General features: G+C 39.2%; 1 protein-coding gene across 26 annotated transcripts in view; it reads right to left on the bottom strand.

Annotated features, from left to right (window-relative positions):
* The window catches only part of PTPRM (protein tyrosine phosphatase receptor type M), an 839,541-nt gene that overhangs the window by 612,293 nt on the left and 201,460 nt on the right, over positions 1 to 25,788 (bottom strand). For all 26 annotated transcript variants that reach the window (XM_011525708.3, XM_047437715.1, XM_011525712.3 and 23 more), the window contains exon 2: positions 20,293 to 20,415. In XM_011525708.3, the coding sequence (XP_011524010.1) occupies positions 20,293 to 20,415 (123 nt within the window). The remainder of the gene's footprint in view (positions 1 to 20,292; positions 20,416 to 25,788) is intronic.

Here is a 25,788-nt window from a genome sequence, read left to right as displayed (position 1 = left end):
GAAGATAATGTGGAAAGTCTAATGATGAGACTTGGGCCCTATGGTCCTCTTGTCCTCACCCTCACACCACGACATACCCAGGTGGAACTCAACATCATAATGAAACGGGAATGGTTCCCTTGTCCCCCTCCCAGGGTATATGACAGGGGGAGTAGTTCACTTCTTCAGTGCCCCACTGCTCCAATCTCTAGGGGAGCATACAGACAGGCAGTGTGAGGGGCTCCGACCCCAGAGCAGTGTCTAGGGGTGAATGTTTACAGCTGAAGCCCCAGTGGGCATGTGTTACAGGTGCTCTTTTAGTTTAGCCATCCATAGGCGGCTTGTGTTAAGTCAGCTCAATTAGACCCCCTGCCCTATCACAAGGACAGAGGGATTTCTGTATCCCAGAGTTCTTTCCTTAGTGTACCGGAAGAATCAGATCACACGTGAGATTGGAGAATGAGTGCGAGGTTTTATTGAGTGGAAGTAGCTCTCAGCAGATGGGGAAGCCAGAAGGGAGATGATTTTCCCCTGGAGTCGGACCACTTAGTGGCCCAGGCTCTCCTCCAACTGCCCCAGGCTAACCTCCGCATCGTTCCGTAGGCCGAAGGCGTGCCAGTGTCTGGTGGTGTGCTCTTCTGCCGCTATGTTCCCCTCGATGTCCTCTTGACCTCCAGCCCCTTATGTCTTCCTCCACTAATGTTTTCCCCTCGATGTCCAGCTGCTTGTGTGTCTGCCTGCAAAGGTCTCGGGGTTTTCATAGGGACAAGATGGGGGTGTGGTGGGCCAGGATGGTCTTAGGAAATGCAACATTTGGGCACAAAGGCAGGAGTGCCTGTCCTCACCTAGGTCCCTGAGCACAGGCCGGGCATGAAGCTCTCTCCAGTGACCACACCCTTCCCTTCCCACCACTTCCCTTCCATATCAATAATCCTCCCCATCTTGAGCCACTGTTGAATAAGGAAGAATGGGGAAAATAACCAACTTTTAGCCAAATTTCCAAATAACCACATTTCAAGTACACTGTGCATGGAGAAGGAGAACTGCTTTGCTACAGTGGAACATTGTCATTTAGAAGGAAGGTAAGTGAAAAAAATTTAAGAGAAAACATAAGAGAAAGTGCTCCTCATTGTGAGATACAATATTAAAAGTAGTACCCATAAGAAAAGAAAATGATTAATTGGATTCTGCATCAGACATTGTCCTAAGCTCTGTACACATTCTCTCATTTACTTCTTATAAGAACATCACGGTGTGAGTCATAAACTTCCCCATTTTACAGACGAATAAACCGAGGCTCAGAGAAGTCAGTAACCTGAATGAGGTCACGTAGTGAGGAGGTGAAGTCAGGGTGCTCTTAACAACTACGCTAACAGCTGCCTTCCTATTGGGCATATGACAGAACATAACTAGAAACCACACCCTAACACTTCAATAAAATGTACAAGCCAAATGCCATCAAACTGTGTTCTGGGAATATATTTATTATTATCTCCAAGTTGAAATATCCAAATGTCCAGCTTTTAATTGTGGGACATTCCTTGATTTGGTCCTTGCAGAGTCTGCAGAAAGAAATCTCAAGGGCCATCTATGTAGGTAACTTGGTAATAAAATTTAAAAAAATTATTTCACTAGTAAAAGGCTACTTTTATTAATATCTGGGAGGCCAAGGTGGTTGAATTACTTGAGCCCAAGAGTTTGAGAACAACATGGGCAACACAGAAAGACCCCATCTCTACAAAAAACAAAAAAATTAGCCAGGTGTAGTGTTGTGTTGTGTAGTCCCAGCTGCTTGGGAGGCTGAGGTGGTAGGATCCCCAAAGCCTGGGGAGGTGAAGGCTGCAGTAAGCCGTGATCGCACCACTGCACTCCAGCTGGCGACAGAATGAGACCCTATCTCAAAATAAAAAGCAAAAACAAACAAACAAAAAAACACTTTTGTTAATTTAAAATACAATTTTTCAAAAATTATTTTAAAATTTGTGATTGACCTTTTAAAAAATGTATTATGTGTCAGTCATATAATCAATGGATAGCAAGAGTTTGAGAAATGCAGGCCCAAATAACAAGGGGTATGAGCCCGGGGAAGTTAAGCAGATGTTTTCAGAGGGATGATAGACAGGAGAAAACAGGCAAAACCACCCGGCACTGAATAGAGCAAAACATAAGGGAAGAGATCAGAAGAGCCACAGGCTCTTCATGCACCTTCTGGGGTTTTCCTCTGTGGAAAGAGAAGCCAGAATAGTCTTTACATGCCTCTAAAATAAATCACATCTCCCCAGCACAAAGTAAAAACTGAATTAAATGTAGCATACAGACCACTATGAAGAATAATCTACAAAAATTATGATGTCATCTCTAAGTACCTACTGGTACCAACAGCTTTAAATTATGGGTTAGCATTTTGGTTTATTAAGAAGCTCCTTCAGATGTATTAAAAATCCGTTTACTTTTAGTATTGATTTTTTGATAAATATATTATCCAGAGAGGTTATATGCAGTGGTTTCCCTGGAAAAGCTGACATTTATTCAATGATATTTGCTTTACTGAATTAAGTAGCAATATATGCTCATATATCTTTGCTCTATCTGGGAAATTATCAGAGTTAAGGGAAGAGAATATTTTATGAAAATATTAGGGTATGGTTTAATAATATAAAGCTTAGGAAAAAATCTACTTGTGTAAGATCTAGTTGTTATGGATTAATTCTTGACTTTTATATCAAAACATCATAAAGTTAATTCTCAAAACATTATTTTAGTCAATTAATTGGATTTTTAAAGATAGCACTCCTTTATAGAACAAAAAAGTAATCATTATATTCAATTTAAATAATGTTCTCCTGTAATAATTTACCAGGACCATTTTATTAAGTAATAACCTCTAAGGCCAAGTGGGGCAGAAGTTGCCAGCTACTCATCAAATGTCCTTTTCTTCTTCTTCTGTGCATCCAACTAAACCATACTCCCAGCTGCCTTTCTCTCCACTTCCAGACTTAGCCCACAGAAACCTCCACACAGATCCTCCAGGGACTTTTCCTGTGCCATCTGGATGTCCACTTGACATCTAGAATCTTGGAAAATACATGTTGAAGATGCAGAGTCCTTTTCAACCAGGATGTCTATGTGTAACAAGCTCCCAACCCAACCACCTCCAAGCTGGGACCACAATAGACTATAATGTGAATGGGAAATAAAGGTCCACAGTGTTACTGACATTGTGAGATTTATTTGTCACAGCATCTAGTGTTACACCAAGACATACGTTTTTTCTATTATGTAAATTCTTAGCAAAAAACAAAGAGTTTCCTTTTCTTTGGAAAGTTCTTTAATCTGAAAAAAAAAGGGATCTAGACCACAGGGCCTACTGAATTCAGATGTGTCCTATTCTCAGATCTCAGTAAGTCGATAGACATATATGAAATAACCATGTCATTTGCTCTTATAATGGCATAAAAGGTAAGTAAAAATGTCTTACATGAATGTAATTCATTATTTAGCTTGGAAAAGAACACATTTGTAAGATGAGTCTTCAAATAATGAAGAAAGCCTTATAATAAAAAATAAATAAACATGACAAACTACCAGCTCCTTTAAAGAGCATGCCTTTTATCACAATTTGTTTTTTATTGATTCATGTTTGGTGAGTTATTTTGCATATGTGTTTTTTTTTTTAAAACCAACTTTCATTTTCAATTATTAAGAGTTAGCAACCACTCCCATGAGCTACCTCGGAAGGTTACCTTCCTTTTCTTTTTAATTTACTGGGAGAAAGTTTATCAGCTTAGAAAGAACTGGACTTAAGAATTTAAAAACCAGTAATTTTTCCCAGGTGATTAGTAGAAATAGCAATAAAGGCAGGAAATGCAACAAATGGCATGACTTTCTAAAGGGCTTCACACCAATTAATACTTTTGAAAGGTTTTATTGCATTTGTCAAAGATAAGTCTTAGAGAGATCTCCTCTTTAATACTCGTAAAATAGATATAAGTGAATCAGGGAGGAAAGAAAAATAATCACTTGAATCAGAAGACCCTTTCAAAATAAGACTGTTAATAATCCCTTCCTCTTTGTGTCAGTGGGTATGCAGAGCCACAAGCCACAGAGGAGAGGCTCTCTAGCCGCTATGCTGATCCCAGAAAACCGTGACCAAACTTTACCCTGCTGGCTGAAAAAGCATCTGACCTCTGGGATTTACTCTGAATCAAAACATGGGCAGGATGCTGCCTGTGAAAGGCTCACATGGGATTTAAACGTGCTCCCCTGGAGCTCAGAGGATTCTCTCTTCTGTGCTTTGCTGAGAATATGTCTCTAAAGAAAATATTGTTCGTATCTACTGGGGAAGGTCAGTAATGATAATGACCTTATGAGATGCAAAAGTAAGTAAGAACTCTTAAGCAGGCCAACAAGAGGAGGAAAAGAAATGCAAAAGAGCATATTCATTAGCTCATTTGCAAAACCTGACACTGCATCTTAACTAGAAGTCAAGCAAAGTCACCTGGGGCAACAGCAGAGGCCCCAGTGAAGGAGCAAAGAATTCCACGTCTCCATCTGCTGGGGGATTTAAGGAATTACTGAAATTTTAAAGTGTGGCATGGCTTAAAGCTTATCAACAATCTTATTAAAGATAAATTAAATGAGAAAAGAAGCTACTGCCTCATTTCAGGGGTAAGAAAATGTGAATGCTCATACTAATCACAACTACAGACTTTTATTACTTAAAGGTTGCAATGAAACAACACACAACCATTTCTCTTTTCAGTGCCAGGGTAACCGTATATGAACAAAATATAGGCATTTTATGAAGATAAGCGGTCTCTCAGCGAAGGCAACCCTTCCCTGCACAAGCACAACTATACTTGAGAAAGGAGAATGATATGTATTCAGCTTCCTAAAGATGCCAGCCAGAGCAAATGGGCAGATAGCGACTTCTGGCTGTCTTGATTACATCTATCAAATCTTAGCGTTTTCAGCCTGCTAGGGACTCCAGATAACAAGCCCTTTCTTAAGTGAGTCCCAGGCTTCAAAAACCACCATAATGGGTAGCCAATTAGTAGAGGAAATTAATCTTCAGCAAGTCTATGCCACTTCATGAATTTAATTTTCTTTTCTTCCATTCAGTGCATTATTCTAATGCTTGATTTTTCTGTCAAGTAAAGCATTGATCAACTTTGCTAACCTCAGAAATCTGTGACCTCAGAAACCTTGTACATAGATCCTCCAAGACAATATTAATAATAATCATCATCATCATCATTTAAAGACAGGGTCTCACTCCATCACCCAGGCTGGAGTGCAGTGGCACAATCACGGCTTGCTGCAGCCTCAACCTCCTTGGCTCAAGCAATCCTCCTGCCTCAGCCTCCCAAGCAGCTGGAACTACAGACATGTGCCAACATGCCTGACTAATTTTGTATTTTTATTTTTGTAGAGACAGGTCTTGCTATGTTGCCCAGACAGGTACTGAACTTCTGGGCTCAAGCAATCCTCCTGCCTTGGCTTTCCAAAATGCTGGGATTACAGGTGTGAGCCACTGTGCCCAGCCCAAGATATTCTTTATCTGGTAGGATACAATAACAGCTATTCCACAGTACATACTTCATAAGTATTTACTGAAAAAAAAGGAGAACCAAAAAGCTAGGGAGGTCACCCACTTAGGTCTCCTTCCTGAAGCTTAAATATTAACTATCTATAACAGCTGGACAAATCTATAAAGATCATCAGATTCCCTTGGTAACCTTTCCCATGGCTATATTAACAAAAAGCTCAGAAAATGTTTGTCTATGATGCCTTTCAAATATTAGCAAATTCTGTTAGGACTCATTTCTTAGGAAATAAATATGTTGCCTTACAGAATTGGGCTATTGATAGGCATGTGACTATTCACCTATGGGATTTGCTATCCATGCACATGAAATTTCCATTAAGCACAATTTTCAAGTCTTTCAAAACATGTTTAGCCACCTTTGTATCATTTTGTCACTACACACTTCATAAAAGGGGTTGGAATTATTTCATCATTACAATATATATGACAATTTCACCGTTAAAACTCCCAGAAGCAGCACTACTGATGGAACTTAGATAAGCTCACTCATATATGTTTTAATATTTCACTTTCTCCAACCCTCTACCATCCAGAAAGCCTACACCTAATTCTAAGTATATGAATACTACTCATACTTTCATATTTTTCCAAAGCAAAATATTTCATAATCTCAACCTTCATAGAATTAATATTTACAGTTATGTGGCTTCATACAATATAATTTTATGTGCATTATTTCATTTGATAGCCTAGTAAAATAGGCATTTATTAGTATAAAGAGGGACTACTTCTCAAAAACAGGAATGAATTATTTATATTGACTTTATTCAAAAAGAAAAAGAAAACCCTAACACTCAGGGATAGTCTTTTGCAATGCTTCCAAAATCTTTTTCCCTTCTTTCTTTTCCTTCTCAACTTCTCTGAGCCTGTAACTGTAACTTATCGAGGTATGCTCATCACTTAGCATGGCCTAGGTCAGTCGTTTTCAAAGTATCTGCCAGAGACCCCTGAAATCCCTGAGACCCTTTCAGGGAGGCCACAAGGTCAAAACTATTTTCATGATCATAAGAAGACATTATTTGACTTTATTATTCTCAGTTCACGCTCAACTCTCACAGGTCTACACCACTGCTCTCATGCCCAATGGAAGAGATGTTTATGGACTCTTGTGTTTTCAAACTTTCTCAGTTTTAATTTCTAATTCAGAAAATAGAAGTAGATATTACCCACTTGAACAAAAGCTCTGCGGATTTTTCAAAACATTTACAGAGTATAAAGGAGTCCTAAGACCAAAGAGTTAGAGAACCATTCAACAACTCCAAAATCTCAGTGGCATATACAACACAGCTTATTTCTCATTCAGGCACACACCCACTGCAGTCATCTGAGTGTGTGTGAATGTGTGAGGGGCAAGGGAAGGCATTTCTACATCTTCCTCACTCAGGCATCTGGGCTAAAAGCGTCTCAATGCTGCCACAGTCACCATGACAGGAAGAAGGGGAGAGAACACCTTGACTCTCATCCTGGTTCTAGCAGCTTCTGCCTGAAAATAGCACATGTCACTTTCACTCACACTCACCAGCCAAAGCATGTGCAGTAACATCTAAGTCAAATGCAACAGAGATGCCCAATGTTCCCATGTTTCTAGCAGGTGAAAGCTGGAAGCAGTCATTCAACAACGCTGACAACCACAGGGGCTATCTCTTATGACAGTTCATCTCTTCCCAGCATTTTTTCCAGAACTTAATCATCCTCCTGACTCTTCATGGGGTCTAACACCAAACACATTTCAGGCAACATGGGGAGAGATACTATTTAAATATGACACATGCAAGATCACTTATGTAAATTGGGTTTTCTCAAAACCATTGAGAAATATCAAGTGTGGAGAAAATACATTATGGTGAATGCTTCCCAAAGCTAGTATATAATGCTATTGTATCAAGTGGGCCCTCTAAAAGTCTTTGTTTGACTGATGTATAAAACCAATTATTTGTAATAATTTGTGCCATCAACAAATGTCCAACACCTTTTTATAAGAGCAAGACTCAGATCAATTCAAATAAATTAACATTTCTGTCTGAACTGACTCATCCAGCCCAAGTAACAAATTCACATGTCAGTGGTGGGTTGACCCAATGACCCATCTGCTAAAAAATACAAACTGTATCATTTTGTTTTCCAAATAACAAGCATTGATTGCAGTGTTAGAAAGGTCACTTGTCATCAGTTCAGTGGTTGACCTACTGGCAAATTGCAGCCTGTCACTCCACAGTAAGCCAGGACAATCAGGAACTAAGGGATGTTTTGTTTACAGAGTACAATTAGGGAGGTGACACCATTTTCACAAGGTGTGTAATAGGATGCGTCTTCAACAGAGAAAAAAGATGTGTCATGAGAAGGCATATGATGGTTTTCATAATTTCCCAAGATGACTACCAGAAACCTCATTTATTTATACTTACTTTGAAAAGCACTGGATCAAACCTAGTCTGCACCTTCAAGTTTTATGCCAAGGATTTCAATTTTTTATGCATTTTCTATGGGTAACAGAATAAATATAAAAGATACCTCTTTCAAGGAAAGATACAAAGCAAGGAAATATACAATTAAGAAACAACCACATATTAGAGGACTCAAAGCATACAAATAAGGACTGGTCATTTGAAAAACAAATTTCCAGTGACACCCTCTCTAAAAGTGCCACTATATTAATATGCTACCCCACATATCCAATTAGACACTTACTAATGCTGCATAATCAGTTGTTTCAATTTGTCCACCCACCAGACAGAGGCATTACAATTGTCCGGCAGACAATTAATTAAATAGCTATATTTATTTCTCTTTCGACCACTTAAGCTTTTACATATTGCTTTAAGATATAATTCATCACAATCTCCTAGAATAAAGTATCAGTTAACTATGCATTAAAGTCCACTTATTTAAAATAATGATCTGCACAATCATCTAGTGGAGTCTGCCAAGAAATTCTGTATGATTTTTTCTGTATTCAGTCCCATATTATGGATAGGATACAAATGAATGCAAGCATGTATCCAAAAATAAAATGTAATAATTCCTTATGCATTTTCCAACAAAGTTAACCACCAAAATATCTACCAATAGGATAAGAATCTTTATATTTGAGACACCCACTGAGGCATAAAACCATGTGAAGCATTTGTCCTATTTAAGAAAGTCCTAAAATTACACACTTTAAGTTAGTGGCTCCAAATCGGTATTACATAAGTCCATCAGCTCTACTAAACCTCTCCAGTAATGACCAATGATCATCACGATATGCTCAGAAAGTGCAGACGTGGCTCAACCTGGGTTTTGTAAATAAACACTTTCAATGCAATTTGATGGAATAGCATTTTGCCTAAAATGTACCAATGGAGAAAAACTGTGTTGGCATGACACGAAGTCGGTGTACCTCAATTAATGTCTCTTGTAGCCCCACATTTATACTGCAAATTTTGCTTAGCTTCAAAAGTACAGAAAAATTAAGTAATAAACGCACACTTCCCTTAGACTCAACATTTGTTAACATCTTACCATATCTGCACACATGCGCGCTCTCTCTCTCTCTCAACATACACACACACTTTTTTCTGCAAAGATATCCTAACACTTATATCTTTTAACACTTCAGCATGAATCTCCTAAGAACGAGGGTATTCTCCAACATATTCATATGCTTTTTGGTACTCATTTACTAACCAAATTTCCTTATTACATCTTTTCTGGAGACACTCTTATCAGAAATTTTGAATTTTCCTCTACACATACTCAGTTAAATATTTTCTTTTCTTCTCACTTTGCCAGAAATCAACACTCAAATCACCCTCTTCCTTCATATCCTTCACCAGCTCATCGCCTATGTCTGGACCTCTTCCTCTTCCCATTCCATGTACTTGGCAGTCCCTAGAACTACATGCAGTTTCCCAGGCAGCCTTGTGAACACCTGTGCTCCCTTCCCACCCCTCACTGCCTTTACACAGGATGTCCTTCTGTCTGGCGTTTCTACCTGTTCCAGCATCACTACTCACCTTCTCTTGCCCCTCTTGGGTGCTCCCACCTCCTGGAAGCCTTCCCCTTGCCCTCACCCCATGGCCTCCAACTGGGTGGCAGCCTCCTTGGGCTCAGAGCAGACAAATGGAGCTTCCCCCAGAGCATTCACTTGCAACACCACTTCTACATGGCCTGGAAGACTGCAGGCTGATGTCTCCCTGAATCCCTGGTGACTGGAACAGCACCTTGCACACAGCAGTGCTCAAAAAGCAGTGTCAATGTCAAAATAAAAATGTAGAGACTAATCTCTGAATTTACTGTTTTATTCAGGAGAAAAGAGCTGCAATTTGGGCACACATGCAGACTGGGTGGTCTTGGTAGATCTGAAGAATATAGAAGGTTGGAGGTTTTATAAAAAGCTGAAACATAGTTTTATAAAAAGCTGAAACATAATTTCTAGTGCCATAGTTCATTGGCACTAGAAAAGTTTGGAGAAGCTGGGCAAGCTCTGATTGTTGAGTGACGATGGTGGGTAAGGTGGTGGGATAAAAGGAGTTTTAGGAGTCACAGCAGGTATTCCAGGAACTATTACATAAAACTGGTTTCAGGTTACAGCAGGCAGCTTCAGCAGCTGGGCTGGCAGAGAGCGACATACTTGGAGCAATGGTGTGTGTCCAGGGTGCTTTTCCCCTCCGGCCTCTTGACTCTGTTTTAGTTAGGTATGACAAGAATGACCCAATTCCTGGGATCACCTTTCACAGTGGGAAGGAACTTCTATTTGTTCCTGGTCTTAAAGTGAAAAGGATAATCTAGGCCTACCAATTATTTATTTAAATGTATTCGGCTCTTTGACTTCTTGGACTATGGAAAGTCTGGACAGCTACTTTTTTATGGGGGACCCTGTAATGATCCCCCACAGGCAGAAGGAGAATACAGTGAAGCAGTGCCCTAGGTCACACAGAACTTTCAAGGCCTTCCCCATCTTGGTGTCAATGTGAGGGATCTTCTAACGTCACCATCCACTGGCCAGTGGGCTGTGCCGGTTAGCACAGTGATGGCCCACTCCAAACCCCTGTGACTCCATGGATCCACCCCAGTAAAGAGAGGCCACTGGGCTGGGCACAGTGGCTTCCACCTGTAATTCCAGTGCTTTGGGAGGCCAAGGCAGAAGGATTGCTTGAGTCCAGGAGTTCAAGACCAGCCTGGGCAAGATAGCAAGGCCCTGTCTCTACACACACACACACATACACACACACACACACACACACACAAAATTAAAAATTAGCCAGGCATGGTGGCATGCACCTATAGTCCCAGATACTCCAGAGGCCCAAGCAGGAGGATCCCTTGAGCCCACAAGTTTGATGCTGCAGTGAGCTATGATCACGCCACTGCACTCCAACACAGGCAACAAAGCAAGACCCCATCTCTAAAAACAAATAAATAAATAAAATAATAATAAAAAGAGAGGGCACTGTTCTGCTGCCCTGAATCCAAGTGGGAAGTCTTCCTCAGGCGTTGGACTTTCTGGTCTTTAGAGAAAATGTTTTCAAAAATCAGCTCCATCTCTACCCACTAACCCCTCTGACTCTGGGACTAAGGGAATGTCCATGAGTGTCACCTCAAAACTCATTGTCCCTTTCTTGACTCATATTGCCAAGGTGGGTTTCTCTGTCCCAGTAAATTGGCCCTGCCCAGCATGAGTCCCTCACACTATGGAGCCCGACAGGTGGAACACACAGGCTGTGAGAGCTGAGTGAATCCTCGGTGGATATTTTCAGGAAAGGTAGCATAACCATCCCCTTGCTGATCACCCTTAGTCCTCACCTCTCCCACCTCTCACCCACTCCACTACCAGATGCTAACTAAAAGATGTACAACATCTGTCATGATCAGCCTGTTTATTCCATTACTTGGCTCCACATAACTCTTATGATGTCATCTTGTACAATTTTATGGGAAATTTAAGCAGGAAATAAAACTATTAAAACACATTATTTATAAACACAGGCTAATTTGTATACTTTTTAGCAAATATTTAAAACACAGCTAGCCACTATTCTTACTTTTTGTAAGCTTCCAATCTGCCAAGACAGGAATTTGGAACAAATTTAAAGGAAAACATTTGTTGAATGTTAAATATAAACTACTGAAATAAGTGGTCATACATAATATAGTGGCTGACATTGGCCCCCTTGAAACAGTGTGATATTAAAAATCAAAATATTTTTTAAAGAATGACTGCTTTAATCTCTGAAAGTTTTTGTATAGAAAAACTGAATCATTGAAAACATTATGCTGCATGAAATAAGCCAGACACAAAAGGACAGCACTGTATGACTCCACTTACATAAGCTACCTAGAGTGGCCAAATTCATAGAGACAGAAAGTGGAACAGTGGTTGCCAGGGCTGGGGGAGGAGGAAGGAGGAGTTAGAGTTTAATAGGTACAGAGTTTCAGTTGGGGGAAGACACAGAAGTTCTGGAGAAGGACAATGGTGATGGTTGTACAATGTGAATGCATTTATAATGCACTGAACTGTACACTTAAAAATGGTTCACATAGTAAATTTGACGCTATGTATATTCTACTACATTTTTTAAAAGGAGGAAAACACCAAATCAGATGTGTAATTCAAGAACTAAAATCCATCCTTCCTTCCTTCTTTCCTTCCTTCCTTCCTAATTAACATGAAACGTAATCCCAGCCTTTGGCTCCATCACCCAGCATCTCCCTCATGGGAAGAACCCTCCCTCACACACCCATTACCCACACAACCAGTAAGGGCCACTGAAGGGGCACATGGTGTCCACGCACATGGAAAAGAGGCTACACAGAGCCTGTGGTGTTTCACTAAGTGCTCCCCACAGGTCACTGACATGAAATGGTTTGTTTTTTCATAATCATCTAAAGTTATTTTTCTAAATTTTGTAATTTTGAAACTGCTGAGAGACTACAACTCCAGTCCAATTTATTTTGCTTTGTCTCATCATTCACCATATAAAAGCTGACTGTAAACTCATTCTAAGCCTCACCAAGGTGGTCTGAGTAAGACCTAGGGAGGACGAATGCTCACTAGTGATTATATTACAGCTAGAACTCAGGTGGGAGCCTCAGTGTGGACAACTGAATGAGATATTCAAGGAAGGAGAGTAACTCAATTTTCATTTCTTGGGTTCAGTGACTGGAATTATTCAGAATCAACTAAAAAAAAATGTCAAATTCAATGCCCACCTCCCAAACATTTAAGTGTTAATTTTTATGATAAAGTTAGACTTGGTTATAAAGGAAATGTGTCAGATGGAAATGCTGGGGCCATAACCTCAAATCCTACCATCCAGATAAAAAACACTGTTAGATGGACACAAACATGGGAACGAATGATAGACAATGGGGACTGCTTGGGGGGAATGGTGGGACAGGGGTATGGGCTGGAAGGCCACCTATGGGGACTATGCTCACTACCTGGGTGATGGGATCATTTGTATACCAAGCCTCAGCAACACGTAATTTACCCATTTAACAAATCTACACATGTACCCCCGAACCTAAAATAAAAGAAGGAGAAAAAAAATCAGTGTATTTGATTGTTTGCAGATTCAACATTAATTTTTTACAACTTAAAAAATCTTGACTCAAAAAAATAGGCACTGCTGCATCTAAATATCTGAAAATTTCATTTGAGATATTAATAGGGTTTTGAAACAAATATACTGATTAAAGACTTTTTTTAATTATTGTATTTTAATAGACTTATTTCAGCTTGGGGCTTTTTAATCCAATCAAAAATTAGATGAAGATTTATATCTTCTATTTCTTACCTGGCGTCATTCAGAAGAGAAAATAAGAATTTAGCAAAAGCTGCCCATTTAGCTGAGTCAAAATTAAGCTAAGAGATGAATTCATACCAAATTGCCTCTAAATTATTTAATAATACTAATAAAGGAAATAAATCTGTTGAACATTGCACTGGGCCGGGTTAGAGGCTAAGCTCCTGGTGTGTGTTATTGGGTCTCACCTGGTCAATAACTCTTTGAGGTAGGTTTTAAACGTCTTCCCATGGCTTTCAGGGTCCTATGTGGTCTGACTCCCACCCCTAGCTCCAGCAGAGCACACTCCTGCTCTTCCCTACGCTGGATCACTCAGCCTCCATGGCCTCTTGGTCTTGACAGGATTTAGGTCTTTACTGAAAGATGCATCCTCAGAAAAGCTGTCCCTGTCTGCAACCCCCATTGCTCTCTAAGCCCTTATCCTGATTCCTCTTCAGCACTCTTGGCACTTCCCACCATGACAGTCTATTTTCTACCCTTACCTGTGGACTGCCTGCCTCCTCCATGGGATTTAATCATCAAGAGGCTAGAAACTCCATTGCTACAGCTCTAGCACCTATAGCCAGGCCCATAGTAGTCGTTCCACGAACAGCTATTACTAATATTTTACAGATAATAGGACTAAAACAGGGAGCTTCAGAACTTGACCAAGGTCAACAGCTGCACATTGATAGAGCCAGCAGCTGACCTGGGCAGGGCATGTAGACCCATGGTCAACAGCCTTCACATTCATTTCAAGAAGATCCAAATGCATGCACCTGAAATGAAAGACTAGCCTCTTCCCCAGATGCATGTTCTCACGTGAAGAGAATACATAAGGGTACTCCAAAGAACAAAAGTGAAGGCTGTCGTTGTGCCATGGATGCCTGGGTAAAGTATTCCTTTTCTGAACTTCAGTTTCCTATGTTGTAAAATGAGGATAATGCCACCCAATCTACCAGGCCCATCACGAGAACCAAATGATACAGAACAAAAAAGCAAATGTTGTTGACTGCTTAGTGTCATTTATATGTACAAGATTACTTTGTTTTCTAAGGCAGACTGATCTGAAAATACTGTGCTGCCACTTGCCTAAGATTTAGACTTTTTATCTTACTTTTTTTAGAGAAGAAAGCTATATGGAAAGCTAGATTTGATGCTTTAATGTGCTGGGTCTGATGAACTATATTTTGGATTACCTCTTAAATACTCGCCACTAGAAAGTCATTAATAAATGTGGGAAAATGTGGTTTTCTAGCATATAATCGTAAGCCCATCCAGGAACGATCTTATCAGACGAAGAATTTAAGGTAGGCTGAGAAGAGGATCTTTATTTGTTTCACTCGGTGAAAAATCTCAGGCATCTAAAACAATGCATAGCACATAGCAGGTGTTTAATAAACATTTGTTGAATGTTGACTGATTTGAAAGAATGAATAGGATAATTAGAGAACTGTCTGAATATTCTGTGCCAAAAACATTTCTCACTGGAGACATGCTGAAATTTTAGAGGGGAAAAGTCTTCAAGCCCACCGTCATCTTCTCTTTGTTACTCTCTAAGACCTGAATAAGTCCTGAAGTGTGAATAAATAGGGAAGTCTTCCTTAGCACAAGGAAAATGTGCCTGATAAGTGCATCCAAAGAGAAAACTTCAATTACTTTGTCTGTCAATCCATCTTCCTTCCCAAATGTGAAATTGACTCTAAACAAATATATGTAGTCATTTTTCTATTTTCTGGGTCATCACACAGAGTGCACACGCTGCTCCATCCTGACACTTTCCTCTCTGTCTTTCATACGGGCACCCACAGACGTGATTCAATTCTTAGTCACATTTCCATGAAAATTAGCAGCAGCATCATTCCCAATTCCCCACAGATATAACTAAGACATGGAAAGCTAAATGAGCTTTATGTAGTCCCATGCTATACTACCTGGAAAAATACTAAGAGAATTATGTTTTCCCAACACTGATATCCACTTTCACTTAATTACAGCCTTTCTAGAGGTAAGAAAACTTAAGGGGACAACATAGACTATAAATACATGTCATGAGTATCAAATAGCTACGGTTATAGCTATGATTATAAGTTACCTTCACATTTTTAATATTGTAGATGAATTTGATAATTTTTTTATAAGACAGGGTTACATTTTTAAGCACATAGAATCTACTAAGTATCAATTATATAGAACTGGAACACTGAGGTACAAGTACACAAAATACCACATTATCAAACCAGGTAGGTGTTTTTATATCATAAAACCCTTCTTAATGCTTCTTAATCTATGTGATAATTATAGAATGTGCTGCAGTATATAAAGTGATAGGATGTAACAGTGCTAACAAAAAATACCAGGTTACTATATCAAGATTTTTGTGTTCAAATAGTAATCCTTATGATAAAGTTCAAGAAATTTCCCCACTGTGGGCTGGGTGCAGTGGCTCATGCCTGTAATCCTAGAACTTTGGTAGGCTGAGGCACGTGGATCACCTGAGGTCAAGAGGTCGAGACCAGCCTGGCCAACACCGTGAAACCTCGTCTCTACTAAAAATACAAAAACTAGCTGGGTGTGGTGGTGGGTGCCTGTAGTCCCAGCTACTCGGGAGGCTGAGGCAGGAGAATCGCTTGAACCAGGGCGGGAAGGTAGTGGGAGGCTGCAGAGGTTGCAGTGATCTGAAATCGTGCCACTTCACTCCAGCCTGGGTGAAAGAGCGAAACTCTGCCTCAAAAAAATAAAAAGAAAAAAGAAAGAAATTTCCCCATTGCTACTAGAGAAGATCAACTGATATGAAACGAATCACTCACTCACTGATAACAGAGAAATTAGGTTTGGCATGGTTTCACCACCAAGAAAACCGTGATGACTCAGAGCTAGCAGCAAAAGTTTAATCTACTATGACATGAATGTTCACTTGAAATACAAAAATTTAAACGGCATTTAGTATTTATTCCCCCTAAATATGTATTTCCAGAGCTAACGTCACTGCTCCAGAGTAGTTATCAAGCCAGCTTGCACAAAACTCCAAACTGCATTTTAATTTTTTAAAATGTGGTTAAAAATAACCTCACACATAAGGATATGGGGAAACAAATCTATACACTGGAGCACTAACTTTTAAAAAGACACAGAAAAAGTAAAAAGCTAAAAATTAGAATGAAATGTTAGTCTCTCACTGTCATAACTTTTAAATTCATCTTGATGAATTATTATTCTTCATTTATAAAGATGGGGTCTTCCCACGTTGTCCAGGGTGGTCTCGAACTGCTGAACTCAAGCAATCCTCTCACCTCAGCCTCCCAAAGTGCTAGCATGACAGGCATGAGCCACCGCACCCAGCCCTTGATGAATTATTCACTTATTAGAATTACAGGACTGTGACAAAGATTTAGGTACTAAAAAATAAAGAAAATCACATCACGATGCTTTTCAAGAGATAGCAAATTTAAGGCAATGATAGAGGAAATCTCTAATCATGTTTTTTCTTTTTCTTACTGATTTTGATAGCCCAATGTTTAGAAAACACATCTTCTGAAAGTGAGAGAAAATGTGAAATGTTTGTATATTAATAATTATATGAATATAGAAAACAACAACAATATAAACCATGGGTCCAAAATAACAATTACATGCTGATGCCAAAATGGTCTAAGACGGGCATCAGCAACATTTTTCCATAAAGGGCCAGGGCATAAATATCTTACGCTTTGTGGACCAGTCTCTGTTGCCACTACTAAACTCTCACTGTAGCTTGAAACCAACCACTGACACCATTTAAACAAATGGGCATGGCTGTGTGTCAGTAAAACTTGTAAACGCTGCATTTTGAATTTCACATCACAAAATTTTATTATTCTTTTTGCTTTTTTTTTAACTATTAAAACATGTAACAACCACTCTTAGCTCACAAGCCACACAAAAACTAGCAGCGAGCTGGATTTGACCAGCAGGGCAGTTTGCCAACTCTTGGTCTCTAAAGTGTTACGGAACCAACCTATATACATAAGACAAATACACATACCCATGAAAGAATAAATCCAATAGTATTTTACATAAAGGTTTAGAAAATTTGCCCTCAGAAAGCTATGGTTCTATCTGATTTTCCCACCCATTTGCCCTGAGAAATTCATAAGAGTCATTTCTGTTTTAGCATGGGAAAACCAGCCTTGGAATCAGTTTTTGAAAGGAATAAATCATTTGCACACATTAATGGAAGAGGAGAAGAAAAAGAAGGTGAAAACCCTGGAAACTAAGAAGCATTTAAAACTTATGGCTGTATATACATATTGGAAACTCAGTTTAAAAATCTAGACTTTAGGATAGTACATGCATGTTTATAAGATGCTGTTTCCTCACTTCTAACAACGGTGCTTTGAGAATGTAACTCCTCACTTTGGTCGATGGGTCAGCTGGGCACAGCTCCACATTCTTTTATAAAATATTGGGTTGATATTGAGAAACTGCTTTTAGAACACTTCCAGTCTATAGCACACTTAATTATATATCATTTTAGATTGTTCACTAATTGTATTTTTGTAACTTTTTTTCCCCAAGTAGATAAGTTCCTAAAGAGAAAAAGTCATTTCTTATAATCCTTCCTCTCCTACAATAATTACCATCATGTTTAGCATACATTGGGGCTCAAAAACAATTTCTAATGACTAAAGTTTGTTTAATGAGTAGTAAAAAAAAAAAGAAAGAAAAAGAAAAACTGTATTTTCAGTTCTATATTATGGCAAAAATATTTAATCTGATGGAGCAACAATAGTTTTCAGAAATCTGAGCTGCACCCATGCACATAAGCACAGCCAGAGAGGTGGGGGAACTGCCAGTCCTTCCCTTTCCTCACTCAAATGCTGACACCTAAACCACTCTCAGGTCCAAACAATGAGTTGCAATCTGTTTGGGGGTGAGGGTCCAAAACACACCTTCTGTAACTATCAGAAATAAGTCAGACTTGACAAAAGCGTTACAAGATGTAACACTCACAGATCTTATGCTACAAAGGCCTAATATTAATTATCAAGTATTCTATTAATCAATAGAAGAATAAATCATAAGAAAACATATAAATGCCTCCATGTCATTCTTCTCAAGTCAGAAGAGCCTTCAAAGGCCATATATGTGCAGCATCACTTCCTCTTCATTCACCTTTGTTCTTTCAATTACCTAACTGGCTGTGCCAGGATACACCTGGGCTTTGAACTTTACTACCATTTTTTTAACGGCCTGTGCTAGAAACCTATGATTTTAATATTTTAAAGTTGACAACTTAGTCTAAGGTGGGCCATTGAAAAAAAGAAAAGGACAAGATGGTGACAAGAAATTATTTATTTGGCCTCATTTATCAAGGGAGGTGAGTTATCTTGTGCCAGAAACAGAGTCAGGAGAGGCTAGAAAAGATTCTGAAATACTTGGGCTTATTTTTAAAAGCTGATTTTTTCAAGTCAAGTTTCAATTTAAGAACAAAAATAATGAAGTCAACTACCTAATGTGAAATATTTCAAATTTTTTATCAAATGAGGAGTTAATAGACAAAGCAAGAGTAAGTGCACTCTTCTGGGGCAATCTACCAGGACTAAATCTAAGGACCCTCCCCACTCTCACAGCCTCAGCTAGCCCAGCCTCTCTGGACACAGGCTGGATCCTCTTGAGAGGGCAGGAAAGACCAAAAGGCCATCAGGGGAAGACACCTGTTTGGGAAACGACGGCCCCACAGGAGGAGCACAGCTGTGTTCTCCTCTTCCCCTCTCTTTATCGCTGACAAGAACAGAAGCAGGAACTGGAATTTGGAAAAGCAACTAAACCTGATTTAAACAGTCATATTCAACAGCACACACACATACAAAGAAAACAAGAGACACAGAAAAGGAGGGTGTGAGCTGCAGCTGCAAGGAAATAACCAACAGCTAAAAAGGTTTTGAGGTCCAGTGAAGCCACAGTGATAAAGAGCTCAATGCTCCCTTCTTTGAAGTTATAAGTAGTTAAATGTAGGAAGGAGAGGGCAGGAACACAGTGAGCATCATACTGTTAAACCTTAGTGACAACATTAAACTCTACTTCACGTTTAAAAGCTACCTTTACAAGATTACTTACTAAGTGTAATTATTCCTACGCTTTGGAGCATTAATGAAAAACTCTGCATTCATTAAAAAGTGTAAAAATTGTGTTGTATCTGAAATCCAAATCAGAACAACATGTTTCACAGTTTGAATCCTGAGTGGAGCAAACTTATCACCAAATCTGCAGACCTAAAGTCCTAAAGGGATGTCCAATGTCATAGCCTGAAAAAGGGTCCATTGCAATAATCAAGCTCCAAGCTGATTAGAGCTCACTAGTCACCATCTTCCTACTTTTCCCTCCCAACAAGAAGTAAAATTCTTTTTGGTGTTCAGTGGAACACATCTTTCACTCATCAGAAATTCACTAAACATTTCTTCAGTGGAAAAAATACCCACATTTTTGCATTGCCATTTTGTCTTCAGAAAACTTTCAAGATCACTGGGCATTCTCCTAGATCTCCCAGGTGCCAAGGGAGCCCCTGAGGCTAAGAAAAGTCCCCCACCAAGGCCTCCTATGGAGACTGTTATTTGGATTCCCCAACTGGAGTTCTAACACTTAGACACATTTACCAGAAGAGATCTCAATCTTTTTCTCATATTTGCTGCTTGGGAAAAGATCAACTGGGTAATGCCCACTAATCTAGCTAAGATGTACTTGCAAATAAAAGAAGTATAATTTAGACTTTAAGGGGAGAGAGATAAAACTTTTATAACCTATCCTGTTAATTGCACCACTCTCACTAGCTAATCCAACTTTGACTGCCACATCCAAAGACCAACACCGTCACTCATTTAACCAATATCCAGTGAACACATAGTATGATTGAGACTCTTGTGTTCCTCTTTAAAACAAAACTTAAAACTAAAAGCAAACCTGATGGCATCCATGGATCAGAAGTCGGTTTAGTCAAGGTGTTCACTTGCTCCCAATTGAAGTCATCACCTTCAGATTGACTATATCCACATGTGCTATACGGCTCATCAAAGAGGCAGCCACCTAAAATGTAAAAGAATAAAAAGTAATGTAAATACCAACCAGACCTCTAGAATAAGCTATGATGATTGCAGGAAGCCTTAGACTTGATGCCAAGTTTGATGCCAAACTAAATCTGATTAGGTCTTTCCACTCAGGAGCTGTGCATCCAACACTTAGTGATCCCTTGCTGAGTGCTGCTGAGTATTAACCATGCCTCACCCACATCACTGTATTACGCAGCTCTCCAAAAGCAATCTAATGTTGGTAGAAGCCAGCTGAAGGTAAGATCTGGCCGGGCATGGTGGCTCATGCCTGTAATACCAGCACTTTGGGAGGCTGAGGCGGCCAGATCGCCTGAGGTCAGGAGTTCGAGGCCAGCCTGGCCAACATGGTGAAACCCTATCTCTACAAAAATACAAAAATTAGCTGGGCATGATGGCAGGCACCTGTAATCCCAGCTACTCAGGAGGCTGAGAGAATCGCTTGAACCCAAGAGGCGGAGGTTGCAGTGAGCCGAGATCATGCCATTGCACTCCAGCCTGGGCGACAGGGCGAAAATCTGTCTCAAAAAACAAACAAACAAAAAAAAAAAAAAAAAACAAAGAAAAGAAAAAAAAGAAAGTAAGACCTAAGCAAATTTAAAATTCATAGTTTCCAGATGTATAGGAATTTGAAAAATTGCTCTTGCATTAAAAATTTTAAGAGAACTGACTTAAATGTTCAACATGTTTTCAATAAAGAAGAAACATTTATAATTTGTCCAAAAAATGAAAAAAGAAATGCTTTCACCTCAATCCTGGCACAATAATAGAGGACAAAATGCAGTACAAACCATGGTACAGCTTGCAAAATATTTTCCAAAGAATTATTCTAAATCTAACAAAGAAACAGGTTTTACTTTAATACTTTGGAGATATGAGGTCTCAAAATCAAAAGAGATGATAAATTCACTTACAGTCCACACAAGTTTTAAAGGGAAAAATAAATTCGAGACTAAGCATGTGGTAAACATCTGCTGAATTCTGGTACTAGAAATGAAACTACTTAAAAAAAAAACAAAGAATAATAGAAAATGCAAAATATACATAGTAATTCAGCTGTTTCAGCATCAATAGCATTCAGCACGTTGATGATTTTGTCCCATCTCATATCCTCTTGAATGCCTCCTGTTACTTTTTATAGTATAAGATCTTTTCTCCATGTTTCACATGGGGAAAGTGATTAATTAAATTGATCTTATTAATTATTATGAAAATTCTACTATCCATATAATGCTATTAATCATATTAATTCAAAAAATTATAATTGTTTGCCACTGATGACAATTAAGTGTTCTCATTCAAGAAAACATGAATTTAAGAATATTTTTACATTATGTCCACAATGTGTGTCCTGTTGGCAAGAAGATAAGTAAAACAGCCATTGTCCAACCTCAGAGCAAAAACAGATGTTAGAGGTCACCTGGTCCAACTTCTATCCAAATGCTTAGGTCAACTGTACAACTTCCCAGCCAGCCAGCCAGCCTCTGAATAGATGAGGCACTCAGAATTTTGTAAAGCATCCTGACTATGTAGAACATCCCCCCTTAAAAAGGGCCAAACTCTGCTTCTTGAAATGTATACCCATTTATCTTTGCTCTAGCCTGTGAAAAAATAGAAAAAAAAGAAGGAAGGAAGGAAGGAAGGAAGGAAGGAAGGAAGGAAGGAAGGAAGGAAGGAAGGAAGGGGAAGGGGAAGGGGAAGGGAGAAAGAAAGAAAAGAAAGAAAGAAAGAAAGAAAGAAAGAAAGAAAGAAAGAAAGAAAGAAAGAAAGAAAGAAAGAGAAAGAAAGAAAGAAAAGAAAGAACGAAGGGAGGAAGGAAGGAAGAGAGGAAGGAAGGAGAGAAAGAAAAGAAAAGAAAAGAAAAGAAAAGAAAAGAAAAGAAAAAAGATCTTAGCTTTTGCACAGGAAAGCTGATTATTTGAAAAGAGCTGTCATGTTCTAAGTCTTCACTTCTCCAGGCAACAGGCAAAGTATGCTTTGCTCCCTGTAATTCCTGCTACTAAAAGGTTTACAGGCCCTTCAACCATCCTGGCAGCTGTTTAGAATTCAACGGGCTACTGCCCTTAACCACATTCTCTTCTCAACAGTGCAGACAGGGTGCTGGTCCATTCTCAGCTTCTGCGAGCCTGAAATCCCATACGGCTTTTGTACACCACTGCCACTGAGTCATCTCTCCACTTTGTAAGAAAGTAGATGGTTTTCTGAATTAAATCCAGGACTCTCCATTTATCCTTCCTAAATCCCATCTCATGCTTTTGTGCATCACTCCATTCTACAACTCTGACATTGTCATTCAATTGTGGTAATAGCCATCTTACCTAGTTTTGTGTTGTCTGCAAATCTGATGAGCATGCTTTCTACATCTGCCTCCAAGGCTCTGATAAACAATGTTAAACAGGATAGCATCAAGGAGCCTCAGACTGTCTGTCCCAGCTTTCTAGATTTGTCTTAGTTGTTAGCTCCAGATCTGATGGTGAAATTAGTGTCCCTGGACACTGTCTTCTCTAACACTTTTAACAATTACTTGTTTCAACTAAACACTCCATTGAGAACAAAACAACTCAAAAGATACAGACTTAATTCAATATTTCACTTGACAACAACGGGTCATTTATATTGCCCTCTTACTGAGTTTTAACAACTCCAGAAACAAAATGGATTTGTTTCAAATGCGTAATACTAACAACTTTCCAGTTTGGGGTACGAAATGTTAGAAGACTGCAAACATTTACGAGAAGTATTGTCTCTCGGTTGCAAACCCTAATTTTGATGTAGAAAACAGCTTCAGTATTCTAGCAATAAGCTCAAATGGCAACAGCACTAATAACATTCAAAAAGAATGAAATCCTCAATTTTGACAGAGAAGGTCCCCCAGTGGAAACAGATAGCACTCAGATGAAAGTCCTACAGTGCGATCTTAAAACAGTGAGAAATAGTGATAAGCATCCACAAAACAACTTAAGGCTGGCTACAGACCCGGTTTACAAAACCACTATTGCACTAAAATAGAACCACATATAAAGCAAAAGCATGCACGTGTGGCTGAGAGCAAACCCAGAAGACTAATACAACACTGGTGCCAGGTTATAATTTTCCCATTACACAAAGCTGTTCTTATCACTTGAAATGAAACAAATAAAGTATGATATGGTTCTTTCGGGACTTATGAATGATTATTGAACTACTGGAAAATGGGATCAACTATGAATTTCATATTTCCCAGTGAAGATACATTTCCCTGCACACCAATTTTCAGATCCACCCCTAGCCTTCATTCAACAGATGTGGGACCCCCCCAAAATAACAAAGATGGTTTATTGAGCTAAAATAAGATGAGTTAAAGTAAATGACATCAGAATTAAAATAACCAAGTAAAGAAAGAACAACTAAGCTTTCAGTTTTCAGGACAGCTTTAGGTAATAGCAAAATGTATAGGTTCTGAGTCAAACACACGCATATCCCCAATTCTTCCACTGTTAGCTTGGTGATTTTAGACAAATCACTTAGTCTCCCAAGTCTAGATTCTTTATGTAAAAAACAGAGATAACATGTACCTCACATGGTATTTCTGACAGTTAAATCAGACAGCAAATATAAAGTCAGTGTAACAAGAGTCAGGCATGTTCAGCCAGCATCAATTATTATCAGTTCTTAAATTCTTCTTGCCAGATATACCTCATAGAACAAAGCACTCTCAGGAGTGCATTTCATTGCAACTAGTTGGAATATATAATTGAAAACTTGCACTTCATGAGAAGATGAAGAGTTGTGAGCATTCACATAGGTAACATCCTGTAGGTTCCTCTATTAAACATGGAAGTGCCAAGAACAGGCAGTTAGTGAGGTTCTTCAAATAAATGCTATGGGGGACAATGAAAAATATATGTTAAGGAGGCAAAGTCCCCTGAAACACAGTAAAAGGACGCATTTCTAAAAATACAGTCTTCTTGATTTTCTGAATAATACAGACAAATTTTGCCATCATCTACAGCAGTATGGTCAGCAACAGACTCCCTAACTTTTCTCCAGAACTGTCACACCTGGACTGGCTCCCAGCAGTCCATGGTTGTACTATATTTCTCTGTTAAATCAAAGTAAATTATTCATGTTTCACAGGGGGGAATCACGACTAAATCACGACTAAACCCAAGTCATATACAAGATGGAGGAAAGTTGATACAAGCTGGGTGGGGTGGTGTTGGCATCACTCATTCTCTCTCTTTTTCTCTCTCGCTGTCTCTCACACACACACGTGTACCTGCATGTCTCCATCATACCTTGGGAAAGGCTTTTCCTTAGCAACTTTGAATACAACACACAGGTTCTAGATAAGAATGAGTTACTATGCAAAAAGAAGCGTCAATGGATGGCAAATACCCAGGTAATTGATGACAGTGATGATTCCTATACTGTTCCAAGACATGCAATTCAACACAATAACATAAAAATTAAATCGATAAAACTGTTAAAAGTATAAGTTAAAAGGCAAGGAAAGTAGAGCAAAGAAAAGGACACTAGAAATGTGGCTAGGACTCCACCCACCCACCACCAAAAAATTTTTTAAAAAGTCACTAAGTTCATGTACCGGAATTTATCCACAGATTTCACTTTGAGTTTTGGGGTAGCCAGTGCAAAGAAGAAAATATGACTGATCATAAATTTACAGTATCTATAAAATAATATATAAATCTGATAATAGAGACTAACATTTACCCAGGACTTGTTTAATCCTCACACCAACTCTATGAGGTAGATACTATGATCCTCATTTTACAGATACAGAAACCAAGGCATACAAAGTTACACAGCCTGTCCAAGGTCTCAAAGCTGGAGAGTCGTGAAGCAGATACTTGAATCCAGGCATCCAGTCATAAGGGGCCCATATTCTTAACACTACAGGATAGTATCTCCCAAACTGGAGACCAAGAAGATACACAACTACCCTCACCCTAAATTCAGAGAGAACTATCTTCCTTCCCAGAACCCTGGGAAGAAGCAATTGTTGGAAGTTAATGAACAGAGTTCTCAACAGCATCCCTCAGAACAGAGCAATGAGGTTTAGGGCCCATTCAATAACATCTTATGACAGTATGTGACCACACTCCAAGTCAACAAGCTTGATTTGGTGGGAGCCCAGTGCATTCTAGATTAAAACTGAAATATGCTTTAAAATTATCTTTATGGGCCAGGCACTGTGGCTCACACCTGTAATCCCAGCACTCTGGGAGGCTGGGGCGGGCAGATCACCTGAGATCGGGAATTCAAGACTAGCCTGACCAACATGGAGAAACCCCATCTCTACTAAAAATACAAAATTAGCCAGGTGTGGTGGCACATGCCTGTAATCCCAGCT

This window comes from Homo sapiens, chromosome 18, assembly GCF_000001405.40.
Source record: "Homo sapiens chromosome 18, GRCh38.p14 Primary Assembly".
Classification (NCBI taxonomy): Eukaryota; Metazoa; Chordata; class Mammalia; order Primates; family Hominidae; genus Homo; species Homo sapiens.
The sequence above is the reverse complement of the archived record's forward strand: the minus strand, read 5'-3'. Positions and strand labels throughout refer to the sequence as shown.